At 42.0% G+C, this 20,503-nt stretch overlaps 1 protein-coding gene and 1 pseudogene across 2 annotated transcripts in view; both read right to left on the bottom strand.

Annotated features, from left to right (window-relative positions):
* The window catches only part of TMSB15B (thymosin beta 15B), a 55,272-nt gene that overhangs the window by 33,553 nt on the left and 1,216 nt on the right, over positions 1–20,503 (bottom strand). The gene's annotated exons all lie outside the window — the stretch shown is intronic.
* On the bottom strand, positions 11,658–12,810 carry SLC25A53P1 (SLC25A53 pseudogene 1; annotated as a pseudogene).

Genomic DNA, 20,503 nt, shown 5'->3' with positions numbered 1-20,503 from the left:
ACCCAAAGACCAGGAAATTCCTTCAGGTGCCTACACCACACGGGCCCTGGGTTTCAAGCACAAATCTGGGCGGCTGTTTGGGCAGACACCAAGCTAGCCGTAGGAGTTTTGGGTTTTTGTTGCTGTTGTTGTTGTTGTTGCTGTTGTTGTTGTTGTTGTTGTTTTTCATACCCCAGTGAAGCCTGGAACACCAGTGAGACAGAACCATTCATTCTTCTGGAAAGGGGACTGAAGCCAGGGGGCCAAGTGGTCTTGCTCAGCGGATCCCAGCCTCATGGAGCCCAGCAAGCTAACATCCACTGGCTTGAAGTTCTTGCTGCCAGCACGAAAGTCTGAAGTTGACCTGAGATGCTCGATCTTGGTGGGGGGAGAGGGGATCTGCCATTACTGAGGCTTGAGTAGACGGGTTTTCCCCTCACAGTGTAAACAAAGCCTCTGGGAAGTTCTAACTGGGCGGAGCCCACTGCAGTGCCACAAAGCCACTGTAGCCAGATTGCCTCTCTAGATTCCTCCTCTCTGGGCAGGGCATCTCTGAAAGAAAGGCAGCAGCCCCAGTCAGGGACTTATAGATAAAACCCCCATCTCCTTGGGACAGAGCACCTGGGAGAAGGGGCGGCTGTGGGCGCAGTTTCAGCAGACTTTAACATTCCTGCCTGCTGGATCTGAAGAGAGCAGTGGATCTCCCAGCACAGTGCTCTAGCTCTGCTAAGGGACAGATTGCCTCCTCATGTGGGTCCCTGACACTCGTGCCTCCTGACATGGAGACACCTCCCAGCAGGGGTCGACAGACACCTCATACAGGACAGCTCCAGCTGGCATCTGGCTGGTGCCCCTCTGGGACAAAGCTTCCAGAGGAAGGAGCAGGAAGCAATCTTTGTGGTTCTACAGCCTCCACTAGTGATACCCAGATGAACGGGGTCTGGAGTGGACCCCCAGCAAACTGCAGCAGACCTGTAGAAGAGTGGCCTGATAGAAGGAAAACCAACAAACAGAAAGCAATACCATCAACAGCAACAAAAAGGACGAACACGCAAAAACTCAATTCGAAGGTCACCAACAGCAAAGACGAAAGGTAGATAAACCCACGAAGATGAGGAAAAAACAACGCAAAAAGGCTAAAAAGTCCAAAAACCAGAATGCCTCTTCTCCTCCAAAGGATTACAACTTCTCCCCAGCAAGGGAACAAAACTGGATGGAGAATGAGTTTGACGAATTGACAGAAGTAGGCTTCAGAAGGTCGGTAATAACAGATTCCTCCAAGCTAAAGGAGCATGTTCTAACCCAATCCAAGGAAGCTAAGAACCTTGATAAAAGGTTGAGGAATTGCCAACTAGAATAAACCACTTTAGAGAAGAGCATAAATGACCTGATGGAGCTTAAAAACACAGCATGAGAACTTCATGAATTATATACAAGTATCAATAGTCAAATCGATCAAGCGGAAGAAAGGATATCAGAGATTGAAGATCAGCTTAATGAAATGAAGCATGAAGATGAGATTAGAGAAAAAAGAATGAAAGGAACAAAAAAAAGCCTCCAAGAAATATGGGACTATGTGAAAAGAACAAACCTATGTTTGATCGGTGGACCTGAAAGTGATGGGGAGAGTGGAACCAAGTTGGAAAACACACTTCACGATAATATCCAGGAGAACTTCCCCAACATAGCAAGATAGGCCAACATTCAAATTCAGGAAATAGAAAGAACACCACAAAGATACTCCTCGAGAAGAACAATCCCAAGACACATAATTGTCAGATTCACCAAGGTTGAAATGAAGGAAAAAATGTTAAGGGAAGCCAGAGAGAAAGGTCAAGTTACCCACAAAGGGAAGCCCATTAGACTAACAACAAATCTCTCAGCATAAACCCTTCAAGCCAGAAGAGAGTGAGGGCCAATATTCAACATTCTTAAAGAAAATAATTTTCAAACCAGAATTTCATATCCAGCCAAATTAAGCTTCATAAGCAAAGGAGAAATAAAATCCTTTATAGACAAGCAAATGCTAAGGAATTTTGTCACCATCAGGCCTGCCTTACAACACCTCCTGAAGGAAGAACTAAATACAGAAAGAAAAAACTGGTACCAGCCACTGCAAAAACAAACCAAAATGTAAAGACCATCGACACTATGAGAAACTGCATTAAGTAATGGGCAGAATAACCAGCTAGCATCCTAATGACAGGATCAAATTCACACATAACAATATTAACCTTAAATGTAAATGGGCTAAATGCCCCAATTAAAAGGCATAGACTGGCAAATTGGATAAAGAGCCAAGACCCATCAGTGCGCTGTATTCAGGAGACCCATCTCACATGCAAAGACACACATAGGCTCAAAATAAAGGGATGGATGAAGATCAAGCAAATGGAAAGCAAAAATAAGCAGGGGTTGCAATCCTAGTCTCTGATAAAACAGACTTTAAACCAACAAAGATCAAAAAAGACAAAGAAGGGAATTACATAATGGTAAAGGGATCAATGCAACAAGAAGGGCTAACTATCTTAAATATATATGCAACGAATACAGGAGCACCCGGTAAAACAAGTTCTTAGAGACCTACAAAGACACTTAGACTCCCACACAATAATAGTGGGAGACTTTAACAACCCACTTTCAATATTAGACAGATCAACGAGACAGAAAATTAACAAGAATGTTCAAAACTTGAACTCAGTTCTGGACCTAGTGGACCTAATAGACATCTACAGAATTCCACCCAAATCAACAGAATACACATTCTTCTCAGCACCACATAGCACTTATTCTAAAATTGACCACATAATTGGAAGTAAAACACTCCTCAGCAAATGCAAAAGAACAGAAATCATAAACCGTCTCTCAGACCACAGTGCAATCAAATTAGAACTCAAGAATAAGAAACTCACTCAAAACCGCACAACTACATGGAAACTGAACAACCTGCTCCTGAATGACTACTGGGTAAATAATGAAATTAAGGCAGACATAAATAAGTTCTTTGAAACCAATGAGAACAAAGACAAAACGTACCAGAATCTCTAGGACACAGCTAAAGCAATGCGTAGAGGGAACTTTATAGCACTAAATGCCCACAGGAGACAGCAGGAAAGATCTAAAATCGACACCCTAACATCATAATTAAAAGAACTAGAGAAGCAAGAGCAAACAAATTCAAAAGCTAGCAGAAGACAAGAAATAACTAAGATCAGAGCAGAACTGAAGGAGATAGAGACACAAAAAAACCCTTCAAAAAATCAATGAATCCAGGAGCTGATTTTTTGAAAAGATTAATAAAATAGATAGACCTCTAGCCAGACTAATAAAGAAGAGAAGAGAGAAGAATCAAATAGACACAATAAAAAATGGCAAAGGGGAGATCACCACTGATCCCACAGAAATACAAACTACCATCAGAGAATACTATAAATACCTCTATGCAAATAAACTAGAAAATCTATAAGAAATGGATAAATTCCTGGACACATACACCCTCCCAAGTCTAAACCAGGAAGAACTCGAATCCCTGAATAGACCAATAACAAGTTCTGAAATTGAGGCAGTAATTAATAGCCTACCAACCTAAAAGCCCAGGACCAGATGGATTCACAGCCGAATTCTACCAGAGGTACAAAGAGGAGCTTATACCATTCCTTCTGAAACTATTCCAAACAATAGAAACAGATGGACTCCTCCCTAACTCATTTTATGAGGCCAGCATCATCCTGATACAAAAACCTGTCAGAGACACAACAAAAAAAGAAAATTTCAGGCCAATATCCCTAGTGAACATCAATGTGAAAATCCTCAATAAAATACTGGCAAACCGAATCCAGCAACACATCAAAAAGCTTATCCACTACAATCAAGTCAGCTTCATCCCTGGGATGCAAGGCTGGTTCAACACACGCAAATCAATAAACGTAAACAGAACCATCACATAAACAGAACCATCACATAAACAGAACCAATGACAAAAACCATATGATTATGTCAATAGATGCAGAAAAGGCCTTTGATAAAATTCAACACCCATTAATGCTAAAAACACTCAATAAACAAGGAATTGATGGAACATATCTCAAGATAATAAGAGCTATTTATGACAAACCCACAGTCAATATCATACTGAATGGGCAAAAGCTGGAAGTGTTCCCTTTGAAAACCGGCTCAAGACAAGGATGCCCTCTCTCACCACTCCTATTCAACACAGTATTGGAAGTTCTGGCCAGGACAATCAGGCAAGAGAAACCAATAAAGCGTATTCAAATAGGAAGAGAGGAAGTCAAATTCTCTCTGTTTGCAGATGACATGATGGTATATTTAGAAACCCCATGGTCTCAGCCCATAAACTCCTTAAGCTGATAAGCAACTTCAGCAAAGTCTCAGGATACAAAATCAATGTGCAAAAATCATAAGCATTCCTACACACAAATAATAGACAGAGAGCCAAATCATGAGCAAACTCCCATTCACAATTGCTACAAAGATAATAAAATACCTAGGAATACAACTTACAAGGGATGTGAAGGACCTCTTCAAGGAGAACTACAAACCACTGCTCAAGGAAATAAGAGAGGACACAAACAAATGGAAAAACATTCCATGCTCATGGATAGGAAGAGTCAATATCATGAAAATGGCCATACTGCCCAAAGTAGTTTATAGGTTCAATGCTATTCCCTTCAAGCTACCATTGACTTTCTTCACAGAATTAGAAAACAACTACTTTAAATTTCATATGGAAGCTGGGCGCGGTGACTCATGCCTGTAATCCCAGCACTTTGGGAGGCCGAGGCAGGTGGATTACCTGAGGTGGGGAGTTCGAGACCAGCCTGACCAATATGGAGAAACCCCATCTCTACTAAAAATACAAAATTAGCTGGGCAAGGTGGTGCATGCCTGTAATCCCAGCTTCTTGGGACGCTGAGGCAGGAGAATAACTTGAACCTGGGAGGCAGAGGTCGTGGTGAGCTGAGATCACGCCATTGCAGTCCAGCCTGGGCAACAAGAGTGAAACTCCATCTCAAAAAAAAAAAAAAAAAAAACAACTCCTATGTAACCAAAAAAGAGCCCGCATTGCCAAGACAATCCTAAGCAAAAAGAACAAAGCTGAAGGCATGCTATCTGACTTCAAAATATACTACGAGGCCACAGTAACCAAAACAGCATGGTACTGGTACCAAAACAGATATATAGACCAATGGAACAGAGCAGAGGCCTCAGAAATAACACCACACACCTACAACCATCTGATCTTTGACAAATCTGACAAAAGCAATGGGGAAAGGATTCCCTATTTAATAAATGGTGTTGGGAAAACAAGCTAGCCATATGCAGAAAACTGAAACTGGACCCTTTCCTTACACCTTATACAAAAATTAACTCGAATTGGATTAAAGATTTAAACGTAAGACCTAAAACCATAAAAACCCTAGAAGAAAACCTAGGCAATACCACTCAGGACATAGGCATGGGCAATGACTTCATGACTAAAATGCAAAAAGCAATTAAAACAAAAGCCAAAATTGACAAATGGGATCTAACTAACTAAAGAGCTTCCGCACAGCAAAAGAAACTCTCATCCAAGAGAACAGGCAACCTACAGAATGGGGGGAAATTTTTGACATCTATCCATTTGACAAAGGGCTAATATCCAGAATCTACAAGGAACTTAAACAAATGTATAAGAAAAAAACAAAAACCCCATCAAAAAGTGGGCACAGGATATGAACAGACACTTTTCAAAAGAAGACATTTATGCGGCCAACAAACACACACACAAAAAAGCTCATCATCGTTGGTCATTAGAGAAATGCAAATCAAAACCACAATGAGACACCATCTCACGCCAGTTAGAGTGGCGAACATTAAAAAGTCAAGAAACAACAGATGCTGGACAGGATGTGGAGAAATAGGAATGCTTTTACACTGTTGGTGGGTGTATAAATTAGTTCAACCATTGTGGAAGAAAGTATGGTGATTCCTCAAGGATCTAGAACTAGAAATACCATTTGACTCAGCAATCTCATTACTGGGTATATACCCAAAGGATTATACATCATTCTACTTCAAAGACACATGCACACGTATGTTTACTGCAGCACTATTCACAATAGCAAAGACTCGGAACCAACCCAAATACCCATCAATGACAGACTGGATAAAGAAAATGTGGCATATATACACCATGGAATAATATGCAGCCATAAAAAAGAATGAGTTAATGTCTTTTGCAGGGACATGGATGAAGCTGGAAACCATCATTCTCAGCAAACTAATACAGGAACAGAAAACCAAACACTGCACGCTCTCACTCATAAGTGGGAGTTGAACAATGAGAACATATGGGCACAGGGAGGGGAACATCACACACTGGGGCCTGTCTGGGAGCGGGGGGCAAGGGGAGGGATAGCATTAGGAGAAATACCTAATGTAGATGACGGATTGATGTGTGCAGCAAACCACTATGGCACATGTACACCTACGTTACAAACCTGCAGGTTCTGCACATGTATCCCAGAACTTAAAGTACAATAATAAAAAAAAAAAACTAATGCAATCCTGTCATTTCTGGCAACATAGATGTGCTCAGAGGACATTATGTGAAGTGAAATGTGAAGTGAAATAATCCAGGCACAGAAAGGCAAATATCACATGTCCTCACTCATATGGGAGAGCTAAAAAAGTTGATCTCAAGGTGGTGGAGAGTAGAACTGTGGTTAACAGAGGCTGGGAAGGGTCCTGCAGAGGGGCGAATGAAGAGAGATTGGTTAATGGGTGCAAAAATAGAGTTAGAGAGAAGGAATAAGTTCTGCGTTCAATAGCACAACAGAGTGACCATAGTATTCAATTTATTGTGTATTTCAAAATAGCTAGAAGAGATTTGGAATGTTTCCCACACAAAGAAATGATAAATTTGAGCTGACGGATATCCCAATTACCTTGATTTGACCATTACATATTGTACGCATGTATCAAAATATCAAATGTACCCCAGAAACATATACAATTATTATGCATCAATAAAACGAATGAATTGTAAAAAAAAAAAAAAGAGAGAAAAAGAAAGAAAAGAAAACCCTGCAAACAACCAGAATGACCCTCAAACTTATCATGAATAAATTATGGTACAATGGTAAACTGTACAACAATAAAAATGGATCAACTACAGCTATCTGCAATATCGATGAGTATCACAAGCAATGTGGAGTGAAACAAGATAGTCACAATTCCAAGTTTATAAAGTATATAATGTTCAAACATCTGTAAAACAAAACTGTTGGTTAGGGATGCTTATAAGGAAGAAAACCTATAAACAAAAGCAAAGAAATGATTATCACAAAAGTCAGCATGGGGGCTAACCCTAAGATGGAAGAAGGGATATCATCATTGGCGGGGGGAGAGGAGTAGGTTATTAAAGGGCTCTATTTCTTGCCCGGGCTAGTTATTACATGGGTGATAGCTTTAAAAATGTTCTTTAAACTGGCAATTCTCGTCTGAGCGTATCTCTTTTCTTAAAGAAATAGAAAGCAAGGTCACTAGTTGGAAATGATGAGGGAGGGTATATTAAAAGATTTGAGGGAAGAAAGATGATATGAAAGAACCAGAGACATTGGAGAGTGAACAGACTAGAGAAATACAGTATTTTTATCCTATTATTTTATGAAAGCTTTTTATAGTTTCTGATTTATTATGCTTTTTCTCTCATATGCAACATTATTTTATATATAACTTTAATGTACTACACTATATGTCATTATCCCAGTAAAATTATAATGCTATTTAATGTTTAAAAATAAGTTGTAAAAGCAAAATTGTCTAAATAAACCATATAATGATTTGTCATAAAACATTAGTTATTTATTATTTCAACTTGAGCTCTAGAAAAGCTGATGTAGCTTATATTTAGACAAAAATATATATCATGCATATATTGTGTTTTGTGATGGCTTTTTATTCTTTTTCTTTTGACTTTTTATACCAAGTAGCTTTAGTGTTAAATTGTATATTTTATGTCTTTAAACAGATGTAGGTATTTATTACCTCCTTATTTTATTGATCTCAACTCCTAAAAGTCATTTTTTATATCAGAAAATATGCCCACATAAACATCACAAAACTAAATATTAATATTGACATTTGAAATTACTTGAAAACTACTACACCCTTAAATTTTGCTCAGAAGATTTAAGTGGAAAAAGTTGACAAGTCTGTATAATTTTACAGTATTGCCTAGGATTTTATATGAACCAATTTGTAAAACTCAATTATTTAAATTATAACATGCTTCAGTTGTAAATCCACGTTTATATTATAATTGAATAGCTTCAAGCTTTAAACATACATAAAGTTTTTATAAAGGCAAATATAGTAAATTTAAGCAATTATTAGCAACTTAGCTTTAAAATATGCTCTGAGGGGAAAACACACAAACTTTTTCCTTTGCTTTCACATCACGGCAATCAACAAAGAATATTTCCATGTTCAAATGTGTGGGGTTTTCCCACACACTAAGTGAGCAATCAGTTCTGCAGCAAACACCAGCTGGGTGTACTCCAATTCAATTCTGACACAAATCTACCTGGAGATAGCGTCATATCCCACAAGCTGAGGACTAGGTCTCACAAGACTGTTCCCAGGCCCTTCAGACACCAGTCGCAAATCCAGTCCTCCAGAACTTCTGACAGATGGGCTTCAAGTTTCGGTTCACATGACCCCCTCTTTGGGTTTGATTAATTTGTCAGAAAGGCTCACAGAACTCAGGGAAATACCTAACGTTGACCAGTTTATTATAAAGGATATTGCAAAGGATAGAGATGAAGAGATGCATAGGGTGAGGTACTGGGGAAGGGGCTCAGAGCTTCCATGCCCTCCTTGGGTCACCACCCTCCAGGAACCTCCATATATTCAGCTATCTGGAAGCTAACCAAACCCAGTTCCTTGGGGATTTTATGGAAGCTCCATTACATAGGTATGATTGATTAAATCATTGGCCACTGGTGATCGACTTAACCTTCCACCCCTCTCCCCTCCCTGGAGGTCGGGAATGAGGCTGTTAAGTCCCAACCCTCTAATGGCGCCTTGGTCTCTCTGGTGACTAGTTCCCATCCTGAAGCAACCAGAGGCTGCCAGCCATCAGTCAATTATTAGCATACAAAAAGATATCACTTTGGAAATTCTAAGGATTTTAAGAGTTGCATGCCAGGAAACAGGATCGAAGAGCAAATATATATTTCACAGTATCACATATACCATGTGACTTTTCATTTTATAATATTCTGCAATAACGGTTCCATTGTCATAGAGATAAAACACAGTCTTTTTTAAAAGAATTTGGATTTGCAAACATTGAATCGAGGAATACTGAAAATTGATGTATGCAATTCACAGTTCAGGGAAAAAATATCCTGTGTGTGTATAGACAGAGTGCACACTTAAATAATAAAGCAAATGGGGAGAAACATTAATAATAGGGGAATTAGGGTAAAGGGGACATGGGTGTTCTTTAAGCTTTATTTATGCTTGCAACATTTTTAAATGTTTGAAATTATTTTTAAATAAGAAGTTAAAATGAAGAAAGGGACATGGATGTACAGAGTGACATAAGTGGAAATCACCAGTGTAATTAGGAGATAAATGCATCTTTTTCCTTTCCTTATGCAGACTCTGTGTTCATACTTCCTTGAATCCACAAGTTGAGTACTGTTCCAACACATCCCGATTTGCAGATGTGGAAGCTCATTTTCAACTCTCCTGGACTAGCCATTTTCTGCCAACCTTGGTGACAAATGCTGTCTGACATCATACCTCCAACAACTGTGTCTTTAATTTCTGTGGCATTCAGTGAGAAGTTCTCACTGCTAGAACTACAACCTGGTAAGACAAATACAGGACAAATTTGGTTCAGTAAGGAGATGCAAGTGGAGGGCATTACTGAGATATCTGTAGGGGGAAACTATAACACATGTCATCTTGGAAATCCTCAAAATCCCAGAGTTGAAACAAATGGGACTGTTATATATTGTGAATCTGTTTGTGAAATTTCAGTTCCTGAACTGGTGCTAATAGCAAATATGCCATCAGTAACACAAACCCATCAAATGTTCCAGTTGAAAGTAATTTATTATTATTATTATTATTATTATTATTATTATTATTATTATCAACAGCATCATTATCATTAGCACAAAACTAAATCCACTATTAAAAGAAAATAAAAACACAGCTCCAAGGCATGTGTCTTACTGACAGTGAGTCAATAACTTTATCTTCATGTGCAAGGGACAGCAACCGGAGGCTATACCACATCAGAGCTTGATAATCAATTCAGTAATTCGACCAATGTTATTGAGCACCTAGGCACAATGGAAGATTTTAAAATGCATACAAGAATCCCTGCTTTCAATAAGTTTTACGGTCTAGTGGGAGGTATTGAAGAATACAAGAACACAGGGTCACATGAGATTAGTGACATAACAGAATCAGTACCATCTATGAAGTGCTGTTAGAAAGGGGCATCACAGAGACTAATGTCACATTCACTTGGGGGAAATCAAGAGGCTCCAAAGAGAAGGTGACCTCTGAGCTGGGCTTCGAGGAGCTGGAAGGATTTTGGTAGACTGGCATGTGAAGAAGGAGCACTGCAGGTGGAAAGAATAGTGTGGGCCAAAGTATGGCCATGGGAAAGTTCATGGAATGTTTGGGGAGAGAACAAGGTTCATTATGGCTAGTGTTTGGGGTTTATGTAAGTGGAGTGAAAATATGTTGAAAGTTATATAAGGAGCATATTTTGAATGGCTCTGAATGACAGGCTAAGATTTCTGATCTTTATGTCATACTAACTACATTTACCACATCAACAAAATATGCAATTATTAGGGATAGCATTAGGAGATATACCTAATGCTAAATGACGAGTTAATTGGTGCAGCACACCAGCATGGCACATGTATACATATGTAACTAACCTGCACATTGTGCACATGTACCCTAAAACTTAAAGTATAATAATAATAAAATAAAATAAAATAAAATAATTTTTAAAAATATGCAATTATCTGTGAAGAGATATGGTCACTTCACTTCCAGGTTTCTTGGGGAAACTCAAATCGTTTCTGGGCAATGTTATCACCTTGCTCTCAGAAATGTCCTAACAGATAACACCAAGCAGACTATAGCAAATGTTTCTATTTTGCATGTAATTAAATCTCTTCTTTCAAAGTTTTATCATTTCCATCCATGGGTCACACTTCTTCCCATTCCCATCTCCAGCCCCACTAGTTCTTGTGGCACCTGACGAGTTCATGCAAGCCTAATTTAGGATTTCCAGCCACAGCTGCTACCCTGAAAGTAGGACCCACAGCCTTGAGAAGTGAGAGGTGGTGGTAGAGGCAGTGAACAATATCATGAAAATGTAGCCATCTGAGAAGTTTTATGGAATTCCCATCCTAAGAGTCAAGCACAGTTCTTTGAAATTGGAGTTCCACTCAGTTTGGTCTGGAGGACACCTAGAGGGGTCCCAGAGCTCAGAGTGCCTAAGTAAGGTTATCTTTTTAAGTTTCTGTTTATTGCCAAGGAATTCCTTAAAGGAATGACACTTAATCTGGGTTACACGTTATTTAAAGGCCTCCTGGCTCTGAGGCTACTGAAGCTGTGGAGAGACTGGGGCGAACGTTTCTTTTTGACTAAGGAATACTTTTGGGCTTTGTCCTTGCTCAACAGGTTGGTAGTTGGGAACTTCTCCCATGCAATGAGTTTACAGATGCTAAAAGATGGCTGTATTAGGCAACCGAGCCAAAGAAGTAAGCTATATAGAACCAACCAGGGAAGATTCAGAATAACAAAGGTGGCATGGCCACACTTTCTGCAGCTAGTCAGTCTTCAGCTCTTTCCTGGAGTGTGACTTCCTCTGCAGGAAGTCATGGATTGCCGTAGTGAGGCCCCATGTCACACTGGACCTTAGGATGACCAGGGAGCCTCCACGGTAGATCAGGAGAAGCTTTTGGCCCCAAGTGTTCCACACATCCTGGGCAGAGGCCCACAGGCTTGGCATGTTCTGCCATCCAATATGGGACTGCATATTAGCAGCCAGCACAATCGGAGGATACAGAACTAGGCAGGTGATTGTTTCATTGACACTACCAGACACCAAGGCAGGAACCCAATGGGCCAGGCCTTGCTCTGCCAGGCCATCCTGCATGGGGTCCTGGAAAGAAAAATATAGAGTGCTCCCCAGGCTGTTCCTGGCCAGGACAGGCCAGAAACCATGGTAGTAGCCCCGTGACAGCCGCCCCCAAAGCCCATAAGAATTGAATTCCTCAAGAATGCTGAAGGTGCTGGGTAAGCGAGCTTGCTTGCAACCATCCTGGAGCACATTTTGCACCCTTTCAAAGGGGCTGAGTGCCACAGCCTCCACCAGGCCAGACATGATCCCTGCAGCCCAGTGGCGTCCCAGGGTGTGTGGCCCAACAGGAGAGAGAAAGCACAGCAGGCTATCATAAGTCCCAAACAGAAGAGTCCCTTGCAACATCTTGGAGAGAAGAGGAGGGTAGATTCCCCGGTAGAAGTATTGAGGACCTTCGTGCCAAAGTGTCTCACAGCCTCTGACACTGCCATGGCATGGATCTGTTGCCGAAACACAACCTTATAGATAGGAAAGGTCAGAAAAGTAGACATAGAGTTGGAAACAGCCCCAAGGGCATAGGCCTGGGAGTGCCAGCTTTTCTTTCCTGGAGCCTCTGCTTGTGTTCTGTGCTGAAGCTCCTTCCTGGGAGAGTGGTTCTGCTCCCCCATGCTGAAGACAACTGGGTGCAGGTGGAAGAAACTGGCAAGGGTGGAAAAAAAGAGATTAGAGCGACCAATTAATTCCGTTGGCAAGCATTCTCATTGCTTAATTGGAAATGAACCCTAAGAAACTCAGGTCGACAGAAACAAGCAACTCTTTGAGCCAGTTTCTGATATATAAGCACACCCTTAAGAAATTCAGAATTCATTAACCTTAAATTAAAAGAAAGGCAATCGGTTTTTCTGGACAGAGCCACCACTACAGTATTTTGCTGACACAGCAAATATTCCAATATTCAAAGAAGGATTACTTGAAGAACATGAAATAGAGGAGGGGAAGACTCCAAAACTTAATGCATCAACTTTCACGACATAAAACTGTGCATTCTATAAACTACTAGAATAATAAGTTGCTATTCTGTTTCAAAAAAAAAAAAAAAAAACCTGGCACTATCTTGCAGAGGCAGAAAGGCATTTAACAGTTGAAGTGCAACGCTTTCTCTAAAAGTTGGTATTAAATTTGGGTAAGGGGAATCTCCCCTCACTTTTCTCTCCATAGATTCCTGCCCAAGTTGTAGCTGTTTCATGGCTATGCCCAGTCCCCCTCCAGCAAGTGGGGAAGGGAAAGAGCAGCTACTCCTGGAAGTTCAGTGCCTAAAGGATGAGCACCTGGCAATTTCCAAACCTAACCCTGTAGACCTGTAGCTATATAATAGAGCAGGGTTTCTTAAATTCAGTGCTATTGACATTTTGGGCAGGATAATTTTTTATTCTTGGTCCCTGTCCTGTGCATTGGAGGATATTCAGAGGCTTCCTGGCTTCGGCTGAGTGCGTGCTGGTAGCACCTGTGGTGACATACCCAGTATGATGACCCAAAAATATCTTGAGACCTTGCCAAACGTCCCCAGGGAGGCAAAACTGTTCCCAGCTCAGCACCACTGTACTAGATAGAATAGGCAGTGCAAGGACTCCAAACTATTGCTCCTTACCCCAGAAAGGCCAGGAAGCAGATGGCTAGTATGAGAAGCAACTTGGAAGCCAGGACATATGAAGGAACTTTGGGATCGAAAAAAAATGAATGCTCAGAGCAGATCTGAGGGAGTTTGCCGGGGAGGAAAGAGGGGGTCCCTGGAATGACGAGACAGGGGGTGCAGCAGCCAGAGCTGGAACCTCAGGGAAAGAGCACAGAGCTGTGTGGGTGTGGGGCAGGAAGACAGGGGAGAGGGGGAGGGACATGATGGCCAGGCTGGAGGGCTTCCATCTACACTGACAGGGACAGGAAGCCTGGCAGGAACAGCAGACCCACAGGTTTCCCACCGAACCCTGGGCTATGTGATGGGGGGCATGAAGGTTGGGACTCTAATTAAGCTAGCAGGCCAATGGGGGACCACAGAGTCCAGGATCAGGTCCCCATGGAGGAGTAGAAGCCACACACTGCAAGAAGCCTAATGCAGCCTTCCCGGGGCTGCCAGGCCCAGAATCAGCCTTGGCGTGCTACTCCTTCCAGAATCACTCCCATTAGCTCTGCTCTTCCCTAGCCCCTTCTCCCTGCTCCATCCATATCCCCACAATCCCATCCTATCCCCCCTGCTCCATCCATATCCCCTCAATCTCATTCTATCCCCCCCACTACATCCATATCCCTACAGTCTCATTCATACCCCCCACTCTATCCATATCCCCTCAGTCTCATTCTATCCCCCCTGCTCCATCCATATCCTCACAATCTCATTCATACCCCACCCCACTCCATCCATATCCCCACAGTCTCATTCATACCACCCTGCTCCATCCATTTTCCCACAGTCTCACTGTACCACCACTCCCCTCCCCTGGAGCCACACTCACCTCTTGGTGGAGAGACATGGAGGCTCAGCCTCCTGTACTCAGCCCATCACCACCTCCCCCTCCTCCGCATTCCATGATGGCCTTAAGCCTCAGCTTCCTTAACGCTCATGGCCAGTACACTGGGAGGGTCCCTCTGCCTCTTACCCTTTAGCTGAGAACTGAGCAGGAGTAAAAGCTCAAGAGGCCCACTATTTGCATCCCTCTGGGGCACCTCTAGCCCCTGGCAGCCCCACTTCCATTTCTCCAGAGCCAAAGGGGACTCCTCCCAGATACCCAGGCCACTAAATCCACAGGAGCCCCCAACAGTCCTCAGCTCTCCTACCAAAGGTCTTCTTTCCCAAATCTTACCTGCACCTAAATAAGTACAGGTAGTGAGGTAAATGTTTGTTCCCTCTTCTACCTCAGAGCGCAATAATGTTCCACTTCCTCCCTGCCATTTATAAACATGTGTTCACTGATGCCATAAGGCAGGATGATTTAGCAGAAAGAAAACTGGGCTAGGATTTGGCAGTGCAAGGACTCCCAACTATTGTACCAACCCCAGAAAGGCCAGGAAGCAAGTGGGGTAGTATGAGATACCAGCATTCTAAGTGAGTTTTGTTATTAACTTGATGTGTGACCTTTAGAAATTCAATGACATCTTGGAGCCTTACCCACCTGAGCTGTAAAAGGAGCAGAAAGGGCAAAATAATTTGTAGTCATCTCCATACTATATCTGTCAGAGGGGGTTGACATGGGGGCATTCAGGCCAGTAGTTGATAGAGAAATTGTACTTTTCAATCCCCAACTCCTTCTGCCATTTTTGTAAATCATTTTGGGGGACCAAAAGTGAACAATAATTGAGAAACATCTCACCTTAAATATGTAATCCATTGTATAAATCCAATCCTTTCCATTTTATGGGAGTGAAGATCAAGTTTCTCCAAAGTATTTTCTATTAAGATGCCAGGCTTTGGAAAGGGCAGACAGACCCGAGACTGAATACTGCCTCTGCCACTTACTTAATTGTGTGACCTTGGGCAAGACATTTCATTCAGTCTCAGGTTCTTCAGATACAAAACCAGGACATTAAGACCCACCTCAAAACATTGTGGCAGAGATTAGTAACATAAAATGAGATAAAGTGGTTGAGAATCCATAATATAGTGGCCTCGATAAAAGATATCCAAAAAAAAGATGCTTCTGGACCTCACTATGTCTCCACAGAGCACATGCTCCTTCCAGACACTCTCAGGACAGCCAGAAGCAGATAAAGAGGCATGTAGGAACACATTTTGTGTTCCTAAGGGAGGCAGGGAAGCCCTTTCTTCCACGAATGGGAAGGTGCAACATAAATAATCTAGGAGAGCCTGGCCCCTTGACATGAATTCAAAGTACAGACCACCGAATGGACCTAGAGTTGGCCTTGAGAAGATATCACCTGTACCCTGACCTGCCTCCTATGTTTACAGCCTAGTAAAATGAGCCCAGGGGATTCCAGACTGTCCGAGCCAGTCTAGTCCACATGGGTAGCCTGTGTGACTGCCCCAGGATCCAGCCACAAATGAATGCATTTGTCTGTTCATTGGGGACATCTCTCACCCAGTCCTTTGGTCTGCTCACAAACATGTATTGATCATCCACTAAATCATTGGGGGTAAACCACCATGGAGCTAGAGTGAATAGAATTTGGTGCCTGCCCTCAAGTGCCTGGGAACCTAGTAGGGAAGACGGGTAAACAATGAGCTAAACTCTACAGAAAGACAAAATAAAGGGTACACTAATGAAGGTGGAAGCAAAAAGACAAGAGCAATTTATTCCACCTGGGACGGGGAGCAACCAAGAAATTTCTCTGAGAAGGGGCATATGACACAGTCCTTAACTGAGTAGAGTAGAATAGGATCTTGTTAAGTAGAGGAGTGAGGGCAAGCATTCTAGGCTGAGAAAGTAGCCTAAGGCACATAGGCTTAAAAGTGTGAGTTGTGCATGGGGATGGCCTACCCCATGTGGTGAGAAGGAAATAGAGCTGTGGTTGACAGAGAGGAGCCCATTTAGAATGAGGACCACATTTGTCTTCCCCACTGCATTGTGTTGTAGGGCACAGACATGGGCTCTGGATTCAGCCAGCCCTCGGTTTGAATTTCACTCTGTCACTTCCTAGCTTTATAACCTTGGCCAAGTTTCTGCATCTCTCTGATCCTCAGTATCTATATATGTAAAATGATTGTCATGAAGGATGCATGAGACAAAGTATGGAAAGTGCTTAGCACAGCAACTGGTATATAAGTTGTTCCATAAGTTATATTAGTAATTTCATTTTTAAAAATCAGATAATACTAGGAATCCAACATACAAGGGATGTGAAGGACCTCTTCAAGGAGAATTACAAAGCACTGCTCAACGAAATAAAAGAGGATACAAAGAAATGGAAGAACCTTCCATGCTCATGGATAGGAAGAATCAATATCTTGAAAATGGCCATACTGCCCAAGGTAATTTATAGATTCAATGCCATCCCCATCAAGCTACCAATGACCTTCTTCACAGAATTGGAAAAAACTACTTTAAAATTCATATGGAACCAAAAAAGAGCCCGCATTGCCAAGACAATCCTAAGCCAAAAGAACAAAGCTGGAGGCATCACGCTACCTGACTTCAAACTATACTACAAGGCTACAGTAACCAAAACAGCATGGTACTGGTACCAAAACAGAGATATAGACCAATGGAACAGAACACAGCCCTCACAAATAATACCACACATCTACAAACATCTGATCTTTGACAAACCTGACAAAAACAAGAAATGGGGAAAGGATTCCCTATTTAATAAATGGTGCTCGGAAAACTGGCTAGCCATATGAGGAAAGCTGAAACTGGATCCCTTCCTTACACCTTATACAAAAATTAATTCAAGATGGATTAAAGACTTAAATTTTAGACCTAAAACCATAAAAACCCTAGAAGAAAACCTAGGCAATGCCATTCAGGACATAGGCATGGGCAAGGACTTCATGTCTAAAACACCAAAGGCAATGGCAACAAATGATCCATTGACAAATGGGATCTAATTAAACTAAAGAGCTTCTGCACAGCAAAAGAAACTACCATCAGAGTGAATAGGCAACCTACAGAATGGGAGAAAATTTTTGCAATCTACCCATCTGACAAAGGGCTAATATCCAGAATCTACAAAGAACCTAAACAAATGTACAAGAAAAAATCAAACAACCCCATCAAAAAGTGGGTGAAGGATATGGACACTTCTCAAAAGAAGACATTTATGCAGCCAACAGACACATGAAAAAATGCTCATCATCACTGGCCATCAGAAAAATGCAAATCAAAACCACAATGAGATAGCATCTCACACCAGTTAGAATGGTGATCATTAACAAGTCAGGAAACAACAGGTGCTGGAGAGGATGTGGAGAAACAGGAACACTTTTACACTGTTGGTGGGACTGTGAACTAGTTCAACCATTGTGGAAGACAGTGTGGCGATTCCTCAGGGATCTAGAACTAGAAATACCATTTGACCCAGCCATCCCATTACTGGGTATATACCCAAAGGATTATAAATCATGCTGCTATAAAGACACATGCACATGCATGTTTATTGCAGCACTATTCACGATAGCAAAGACTTGGAACCAACCCAAATGTCCGTCAATAATAGACTGGATTAAGAAAATGTGGCACATATACACCATGGAATAGTATGAAGCCATAAAAAAGGACGAGTTCATGTCCTTTGTAGGGACATGGATGAAGCTGGAAACCATCATTCTGAGCAAACTGTCGCAAGGACAGAAAACAAAACACTGCATGTTCTCACTCATAGGTGGGAATTGAACAATGAGAACACTTGGACACAGGATGGGGAACATCACACACTGGGGCCTGTCGTGGGGTGGGGGAGGGGGGAGGGTTAGCATTAGGAGATATACCTAATGTAAATGACGAGTTAATGGGTGCAGCACACCAACATGGTACATGTATACATATGTAACAAACCTGCACGTTGTGCATATGTACCCTAGAACTTAAAGTATAGCACTAATAAAAAATAAATAAATAAATAAATTAAATAAAAATGAGATAATAGGGCAGAGCTTGCAGTGAGCTGAGATCGCACCACTGCACCCCAGCCTGGGTGACAGTGGGAGACTCCGTCTCAAAAAAAAAAAAAAGAGAGAGAGAGAGAGATAATAGGAATAAAGGCAAGATAACAACTAAATTGTTCTAAAAGCTGCAATCGGTCTAATGAACTGGGTTATCTGCAGAATGCCTTTTAGACTGCTTGTTTGGAAGGCAGCAAAGAAGAGTTTTCATGGGCTTTGGAGTTTGACATCCCTGGCCTGCAATCCCAGTGCCTGCACTTAAAAGTTGTGAAGCCTTACACAAGTTACTTAACATCCCTGAAATTCAGTTTCCCTCTCTGCAAAATGGGATACAATGGCTGTCTCAACAGTGTTGCTGGGAAGCTTAAATGAGATAACAGATAGAAAGTTCCTGGTACAAAGGAGGAAGGCAGCCAAAGGCAGCTATTATTGTTTCAGCTGAAAGCTTTATCTCTAAACCTTCAAGCTTCTAAGGTTTATGTGTTAAAATTACAAAATGTGGTCTCATTAGAGCCATCAGTTGGAACAGACTCACACACATGAGGCCAGAGATAGGATGTCCTGTATCCAATTGGAGCCAGGTTGCAAATACTCCCCCCATCCCTGCACAAAATGTCTCTCGCTTTGTTCCAGTAGTCCAACTCTGGCACCTTTACACAATCCATTTCCTGTCATTATTTTTGTCCGAGCTCTGACACCTATTCTTGGTCTTATGTGATTCCATCCCTACCAAGTCCAGCTGCAAATACCTAATTTGGTGATAAAGCCAATTTAAACACTGAACAAGAGTCTTCTGGGAGGCAAGAGTCAGATGTCACGGGACAGGGGAGCAGAAGCAAAAGTCTGAAGGAAACCTAAGAGCTACTGCCACCATCACCCCTAAGTGTGCGAGGTGAGCAACCTGCCTTCTCCATACATCCACACTTTCCACCTTCCACCACCACTACCCCACTGTTCCATCCACAGGCCACAATCCTGAGATGGAAAGTGCTTCATCTCCAAATCTGTATTGTTTACTCCAAGGAACTCTACATCTTGGGGTTGTAAATAAGAGGGTGGAAATGAGTGAGTGAAGTGCCTTGGCAGGCTGAAGATGAAGCCAACGGCAGTGGAAGGGCTTCAGACTGTTCACTTGCTTCCAAGCATCAGGAGTCAAGAACAGGCCCCACAGGAGCCTCCTAGCCACACTATACATAAAGGAAGTAATACCTGCTCTCTAAGTCAGGGAAAAATGGAGCAGGTTTTCCAGCCACTGCCTTCATGGCCATTCACTTTGGACAGCCCTGCATGCTGTTTCCATGGAGTTGCTCCTTCTCTGGGGCCAGTGATGCCAAATCCAGCAAAGGAGAAGTCCCCTGAAGAGCTCACAGAAGGGCAACCTAGCAACCTGTCCTTGAGCCAGGAAATGAAAGAGCCATATCAGCAACAGAGAGCTGTGGTTTGGGGGTTAGGTTAAATGGGGTTTGATTTCTCACACTTCTTCATCAAGCATGGCTTGAAGAAGGAAGACATTATGACAGACCCATTTGAAAATCTGCAAAGCTGTGGACTCAGAAGAATGTACGGAGTCCAGATTCTTTGCATACAGTTCCAGGAAGGACCGCGGGTAGGAACCTGTGCTCTGGAGTTACATTTCATAACAGATATGCCATGGACAAATACACTGATGACAGGCCCATTTACTTATAACCTTCAGCATCACGTGGTGGTGTTTAGAACAGTGGTTCACGAATCTCTCTACACCTCAGAATCAACTATGGGGCTGTTTAAAACTACAAATCACA

Source organism: Homo sapiens, chromosome X, assembly GCF_000001405.40.
Source record: "Homo sapiens chromosome X, GRCh38.p14 Primary Assembly".
Lineage (NCBI taxonomy): Eukaryota > Metazoa > Chordata > Mammalia > Primates > Hominidae > Homo > Homo sapiens.
Note: the sequence above shows the minus strand (reverse complement) of the source record. Positions and strands in the feature narration are given on the sequence as shown.